This window comes from Homo sapiens, chromosome 5 (assembly GCF_000001405.40).
Source record: "Homo sapiens chromosome 5, GRCh38.p14 Primary Assembly".
Taxonomy (NCBI): Eukaryota; Metazoa; Chordata; class Mammalia; order Primates; family Hominidae; genus Homo; species Homo sapiens.
Window position 1 is genome coordinate 73,317,882 of NC_000005.10, and position 7,745 is coordinate 73,325,626.

The 7,745-nt window shown below is 41.9% G+C and overlaps 2 annotated features.

Annotated features, from left to right (window-relative positions):
• Positions 3,527–4,726: an enhancer, noted in NCBI's record as "CDK7 strongly-dependent group 2 enhancer chr5:72617235-72618434 (GRCh37/hg19 assembly coordinates)". NCBI's record gives its function as "activates an origin of replication core promoter dependent on BRD2, BRD4, P300/CBP, MED14 and CDK7 cofactors, with strong dependence on CDK7, by STARR-seq in HCT116 cells {active_cell/tissue: HCT116}" and the evidence as "EXISTENCE:reporter gene assay evidence [ECO:0000049][PMID:35650434]".
• Positions 4,007–4,614: an enhancer, noted in NCBI's record as "OCT4-NANOG-H3K4me1 hESC enhancer chr5:72617715-72618322 (GRCh37/hg19 assembly coordinates)". NCBI's record gives its function as "activates a minimal SCP1, AML or CMV promoter by ChIP-STARR-seq in naive H9 embryonic stem cells {active_cell/tissue: H9 hESC(naive)}" and the evidence as "EXISTENCE:reporter gene assay evidence [ECO:0000049][PMID:30033119]".

The following is a 7,745-nucleotide window of genomic DNA, read 5'->3' on the forward strand; positions in this document are numbered from 1 at the left end:
CTATTACTGATGTTCCTCCAGTTTGCTGTGTTGTGGATAATAAACTGACTTGAGTCTCACTATCTACTTTGGATACCTATGGAATCGTAGCAAGCCAACCTGCTGGCTTGCTGTACTAGTAGTACCCTATTGCTTCTGTAACAAATTACCACGAACTTAGTGGCTTAAACAACACAAATTTATTTTATAGTTCTGGAGGACAGAAGTCTGAAATGAATCTAAAATGCAGGTGTTTCAAAGAAATGGTAAGCGTTTATTACCAGGAGATGTGTTTATTGCTAGGAGACATGTTGATTACTCTGATTTGATCATTACACATGGTATATATACATGGATAGAAATATCCCTCTGTATTCAGTAAATATGCACAATTATTACATGTCAACTGAAAATAAAAGAAAAAGAAGAAAAATAAATAAATAAATAAAATCAAGGTTTTGGTTGGCAGGCCTATATTCTCCAGAGAAGAATCTGGAATTTTTCAGCTTCTAGAAGCTGTCAGCATTCCTTGGCTCATGGCCCTTTCCTCCATCTTCAAAGTGCATAACCACAACCTCTTCTTTCATCATCCCATCTCATCTTTCTTTGTTTAATCTTGCCTTCCTCTGCCTTGTGCTTACATTGAATTCACCTCATCATCTCAAGATCCTTAATCACAGCTACAAAGCCCCGTTTGAGTACATAATCACAAACTCTGGGATTAGGACAAGAACATCTTTCAGGGGTCATTATGCAGCCTGCCACACTTGCTTAGTCACATTCTTTGGGCTCTTGTCACTTCTTGCCATCCTCTATGATGTCACTTTTTGCCTGATACTCCAGAACCCAGTGCTAATAGCAGAACACCCTTTAGCTCATAGTAGGACAGAGCAGAGCAATCTGTCTCTTTTGATTTGACCTGATGGTCTGGTAAGAGGGTACAATTTGCTACTCCTAGGCCAAACTCAGAGGTCTAGCACCTCTAGAATGAAGCTCCATGAAGCCAGAGACTCTTGCCTGATTTATTTATCAGTAAGCTCCAATGCCTAAAACTGTGCCTTCTGGAACATAATAGGTGCTTAATAAATATTTGTTGAATGAACACATTTATTCAGCTTGCTTGTTGCTGGCTGCCCACTTCTACTCAGACATGAATTTTTTAAATTACTCGTGATAGGAAACCCTTTATCTACGTAATAGATTTACTTTCTCCATCTTGAGTCTCAAAATTAGATGCCTGATGGTGCCTTTATCAAAATAAGGAGTATGGGAGAAGGAGCGGTTTTCAGAGGGAAGATACTTTCTGTTCTGTACATACTAAGTTTGAAGTGCTGACGAGTCAACCAGGCTGCGATGTCATGCAGGAAGTTGGAAATGTGGTAGCGAAAAAATGGCAAGGTTGGAAATACAAATTTAGGATTCAACCACACGAAAAATATAGATGAAGTCACAAGATTGATTAAAATGTCAAGGGAGAGGATGTGGAGAGAAAAGAGAAGAGCTCATTTGGTTAATTCTGCAGCATCTAAAATTAGCATGGGTGCCAACAACATATTTTGGTAATAGTCATACATATTAATGATCATGCCCACTGACACATATATTTTTAGATTCAAAGGTTCTAGTAAGAACATATTTCTTACCTGTGACACCCTATTTCCTGTCCTCTCCTAGCCTCAAGCCCCTCTTCCAGGATTGAGGTTTCTTGTATTTACTCACCCACTTTTATTTAAAAAAAAAAGCAAACCTCTCCTAAGGTTTCTGTCCCACCTGTGGGGCCCCTGAGCCATGGTCCAGCAGTTTTCTTCTCCCTGTACACCCTCCACATTTGCCACCAGACCTTTCATACCACAGAGCTTGAAGCACCTGAACATGGGATTGATGGGCTCAGGCAGCTTCTGCATGGTAGTGCCTGCTTGAATTTATTGCCACCACCACCAGTCCCAACCAGACACCAGGATCTGAACTGCGTTGGACACCCAGTCCAGATTTCTATCTGAAAATCTTTTGCTATGGTCTTTTAATTGCAGGTTTTATGGAGACAAAAAGAAATGGCTGACTTTAGCCTCATGATGAGAATGGTGTTATGTATGGTTAACTTGAGCATATTGTAAGCAGTGATAGAGTTTCTGCTATCTGCTCATAATTCCCTCTTCTCCTCAAAAAAAAAGTAGTGAAAACTCATAGCCAGTGTGGGAGCCAGCTTTCAAGATGGCCTCTGGTGGTGTTCACCTGCTGGTCTTCACAACTGTTGTATGCTTCCCTTCCATGTTATAATAGATTGATTCTGTACGGCCAATAGAATATGGCAGAAGTGTTGGTATGTCACTTTCAAGATTTAATTATAAAAGGTACAGATATATTAACCTATTAACCTATAAGTAGAGCAATCTATCTCTCTAATCACTCATTCTGGGAGAAGCCATCAGCCATATTGTGAGCTGCTCTGTGGAGAGGCCCAGATGGTAAGGAACTGAGGCCTCCTGCCAACAGCCATGTGAGTTCGTCATCTAAGAAGTGGCTCCTCCAAGCCTCAGCCAAGCCTTCAGATGACTGCAGCCCCAGCCAATATCTTCACTGAAACCTTCCAAGAGACCCCAAGACAGAAGCACTAGCTAAACTGCTCCTGAATTTCTGACCTACAGAAACTGTGAGATAATAAATGTTTGTTATTTGAAACCATTCAGTTTTAATGGTAGTTTGTTATGCAGCAAGATAACCAATATAACCAGGAATGGGGATCACCCCACACTTATTCCTCCTCTGGATGTCCTAGCTCAGCTAAGCTTCTTCTTGGCCCTTTACCACTCTTGTCATCAGATGGTCTGCCCTGAGATGAGAACATCTTTGCACATGAACTTGCATAATCAGCCTTAACCTCAGTTCATAGGCTAAATTAAAAATTGTTAATAAAGATGTGGAAAAATAATTATTTTAACTGGTATCTAAAGAAAAGCAAATTAATACAAATATAAAATTCTATTTTTTATTTATCAAAATAGTAAGGTTTTAGAAAACATTGATACTTAATGGTGAAAAGGTGGTTCAATCCTTCTGAAATGTATTAAGAACATTCAAAAATTTTGATCTTTGATGCAGAGTTGATTATACTTCTAGGAATAGATCTGATGAAAGTAATGAGAAATGCAGATAGAAATTTATAGCTAAAGATATTCACTACAGCATTTACAGTAGCCAAACATTAGACACAACCTTTGGTCCAACAATAAGGGATTTGTTTTTAAAAAAAGTTATGGGCCGAGCACGGTGGCTCATGCCTGTAATCCCAGCACTTTGGGAGGCCAAGGCAGTTGGATCATGAGGTCAAGGGATCGAAACCATCATGGCCAACATGGTGAAATCCCGTCTGTTCCAAAAATACAAAAATTAGCCAGGCGTGGTGGTGCATGCCTGTAGTCCCAGCTACTCAGGAGGCTGAGGCAGAAGAATCACTTCAACCGTGAGGTGGAGGTTGCAGTGAGCTGAGATCACGCCACTGCACTCCAGCCTGGTGACAGAGTAAGACGCTGTCTAAAAAAAAAAAAAAAAAAAAAAAAGGTACATTTATTTTATTTGAAATTATGTAGCTACTGAAAACTAAGGTTATAAAGTTTTTTACTATGTGGAAAATGTTTCAGTAAAAATATAGGACACAATTATAAACGCAATATAGCCTTAGTTCTAGAAATGTAAATATGCATGAATCGAAAACTGGGGAAAAATGTGCTAAAATATTAGCATCAATTATTGTTTGAATAATCCTCCCCAGCAACGATTTGGAACAATTATTTTCTTCTCCATAGTCCTCAGAATTTTTAGAATTTTCACATTGGAGAGGTATTACTTTTAAATCAGAAAATAAAATGTTTAAAAATTGCATAGATGTAGGCAGTATAGCTTCTTAAAGTATCCAGTATTTGCCTTTGCCTTTTATCCATGAACCACAATGTTTTGGGTGATTCATGAATGATTCACATCAAAAGCCCTGGCCTATCTAAAATTTCATATTTCTTCTTGCTCTTTCAGGTAGGAGATTAATGAACATTCCAGAATGAGACTATGGCGTGGGAAGGAAGTGTGTAATGAACCCAGGAGGATGCCTAGGAGATGTGTCCATTGTAGCATTCTAGGTGTGACCACAAAGTGCCCAGCATGTGGCATTCTGAAGAAGGCCCTATGAGCTCAGCATTCTATTTCCTTTACTCAGAATGGAAGCAGGAAGATAGAATTCAATTGCAAAATGTTGGTCACTGACTCTGAAAAGGATTCAAATTACTGACAGCTTAAAGTAATCAATGCTATGAAAGCCATAATTATCCCAATACTGCAAAGATTTGGAGGTTTAACAACAACAACAACAACAAAAACCAGTTCTCCCAATCTGTGTCTTTCTGTCTGCATCTCTGTGGTTACATAACTAGAAAAGGGCCGGTTCAGGAATGAATCCCAGATGGCTCCGCTCAGTGTTTGCTTTGAAGTCGGTTCAATTCGATTTATCTGGTCTGTGGTTTGAGGATAGGGTGGAAGGATCCAACTACACAACAGTGCCCAGACCCCAGAGTAGGGACAGAACATCTGCTTCCTGGGCACAAGTGCATGAGGAAAGGATTTACCCTTCAAGGGTGTTGATTCTGATCCTGGCTACATGGGGGAGAGGGGTGTGGGGTGTTGCTTCCTGGCCTGCTCAGCCTGGGGTCTCGGGGGCTGCTTCTCACCCTGCTGTGTGAAAGCCATGGCTGTAAGTCCCAGCCAAGCTTGGCCCCACGGGTCTCCTACACCCAGGAAGGTGTCAGACCATCTCAGCTGGGTAAGGTCAAGTGGGGCCCCGGGGTTCCGCCCTTCATTGTGGGTCTTGGTATTTATAGCTTCTCGCTCTGTTCATTTTCTCTCAGGTGGTTAATTATATCATTTCTCTCTCCAGTTTTCTGAAAGGAATAATTGACTCAAGAGGCTGGCCTGTCAAATATTTGTGTAGGGCAGTGTGCAGTGACTGAGGAAGGCATGGAAAGTGAGACAGTGCCATTGAGAATGGCGGGACCACAGAAGGCCAGTGCCAGGAAGGCACTAATGTCATCTAGTTCCCAGGCTGCAGACCCAGATGGCTACAGGGACAGAGCAGGTTCCCTAAAGGCGGGAACTGGGCTGGTATTGAGCAGAGGGACTGTAGGTCGGAGAGTGCGCACCCTTCCTAAAGATATGCAAATAAAAATGTTAATAATAATTTGTAGCCCAAAGAAAACACAATTGCAGGTTGGATTTGGCCCAAGGGTCAGCATTTGGACATTCTTGGGTGGTCCTGCACCTTCAATGTACAGACAATAAACAGGTCCAGGGACCTATCCAGTTGATGACTAGCCGAGCCTAGAACACTAGTCTTCCAGCTCCCTGGCCAGGGGACCTTCTGGTCTAGATCTCTGCTGACAAACTGACGCTGTGACAGCCCCTCCACCCTGCACCCCATAATGACAGTTTGACAGAAAAAGAAAAAGCACTCTGTCAACCCCTACTTATTTCAGGAAATGGCCAGCTACAGAAAAATGTCCACCCCTAACATGAAATGTCCCATACTGCTCGCTTGCCCACTTGCCAAAGGTCTGCCCAGCATCCTCGAAGACCGATCAGAAAGTCTCCCTGCTTCCAAAATTCCCACCCTAATAGAATGATTGCTGATCAGAGACCGTCTCTATATTTCTCTTTCTACTCCATGAAACACGTTGTCCTTTCTAACACTTTTCAACCCCTGCTGAAACCAAAGGGACCTGCAGATGCTTCCCTTGCCACAAGCTTATCAAGAGACACTGCACTCCCATATTTATTGCACAATAGCCAAGATTTGGAAGCAACCTAAGTGTCCACAACAGACGAATGATAAAGAAAATGTGGTACATACACACAATTCAGCCATAAAAAGAATAAGATCTTGTCATCTGCAACATGGAAGAAACTGGAGGACATTATGTTTGTTAAGTGAAATAAGCCAGGCATGGAAAGACAAACTTTGCATTTTCTCACTCATTTGTGGGAGCTAAACATTAAAACAATTGAACTCATGGAGATAGAGAGTGGAATGATGGTTACCAGAGGCTGGGAAGGGTAGTGGGGTGGGGGTAGGGAGGTGTGGAAGGGGCAGATGGTTAATGGGTACAAAAATACAGTGGCATAGAATGAATAAGATTTAGCATTTGATAGCATAACAGGGTGATTACAGTCAACAAAAACTTATTGTACATTTTTAAATAAGTAAAAGAGTGTAATTGGAATGTATGTAACACAAAGAAATAATAAATGCTTGATGTGATGGATACCCCATTTACCCTGATGTGATTATTACACATTGCAAGCCTGTATCAAAATATCTCATGCACCCCATAAATATATACACCTACTGTGTACCCACAAAAATTAAAAATTAAAAAAGAGAAACAGCCGTGTTCATTTTGTCCTGGACATAGGTTTGGACACTGGCATGTGTCAGAAGACTGCAGCTCTCAGGGATTTTGCCCCGTATCTGCCCGTTCCTGGCAGAGTAGATACTCTGTCCCCAGTCACCTGCAAACTGTAACTATCACTCTAAAGCAGCCTGCATTCCTAGGATGCCCCCTGGGAATTTCTGCTCCCCCTGCCCTGGAGCTGCAGGAGAGGTGCATGAGCCCACAAGGATGGGCAACCCATCAGTCCACCTCTGGGCTGTGCACAGTAATTTCGGTGCAGGGTGTTCTCCAGAGTCCAACCATCCTTTGTCCTTGGCGTCCCCCAGTCCCAGCCCCACCTCCTGGCCTCCCAGTCCTAACTTGGGAATTCTGTTCCAGCAGTACCCGTAACCTCTGCACTGCTGTTTTTCTCAACAGTTTTTTCTGTCCTGAAGGAGACCTCATCCAGTCAACATCTACTCACTCAACATTTTCTATGTGGCTCAAGTTCCAAAAGAAGCCTCAGTGAGCAAAAGCCCTTCCTCTCCCTCCCCTGTGAGAGTCTGCCTAATGCCATGATTACAATAGCTAGTATTTGTTGAACACTTACTATTTCCCAGGCACAGAGCTCCCTCTCCTTCACCTTACATTCTTCCTCTCTTTAATCCTCAGGAAAATGCTATGAAGTAGGCATTCTTATCCCCTTTTGTGCCAGTGACAAAATTCAGAGAGATTAAGCAAGTTGCCCAGGGTCACACAGGAGCAGAATTTAGATTTGCACCCAGGTTTAAGCTGGACTCAATCCCCTCCCTCTGTGGCATATTTGCTTTCACTGGGAGCCCCCATTTCTCCCCCACCCCCATTCTGCAGCACTGACTCTGCCCCATGTCACTGTTCCTTGCTAAACTCACTGGTGTGAGTTTCTGGAGGATGAATAGAGAGCAGCACCAGCTGAAGTTCTTCTCAGGTCCTAAGCCATCTAACTTTTACAACCACCACCCACATGATGTCAATTGTATTAACATGCTCCAGCATCTGATTTTAACTATAAATGTTGAAAACATTTTGAAAAGCGTTTTATAACTTTGTTTTTGAAATTATTTTTTATTTCATTTTGACCATTTTGTTTTCTTATTTTGAAATCCATTTAATTTGTCATTCTGAAACATTTTGTAGGCCCTTGAAAAGCCATAGACACTGGGCTTATAGTGCTTAAGTGATGGAAAAACAAAACAAATTGTGGCGATGGGGAAGAGTTATCTGCATGTTGTCCACACCTCATCAATATGCAAACCTTTGATTCAATTTCCGTAAGTATCATTTTTGCCTCCTGCAGAAGATAGCACTATATCCTTC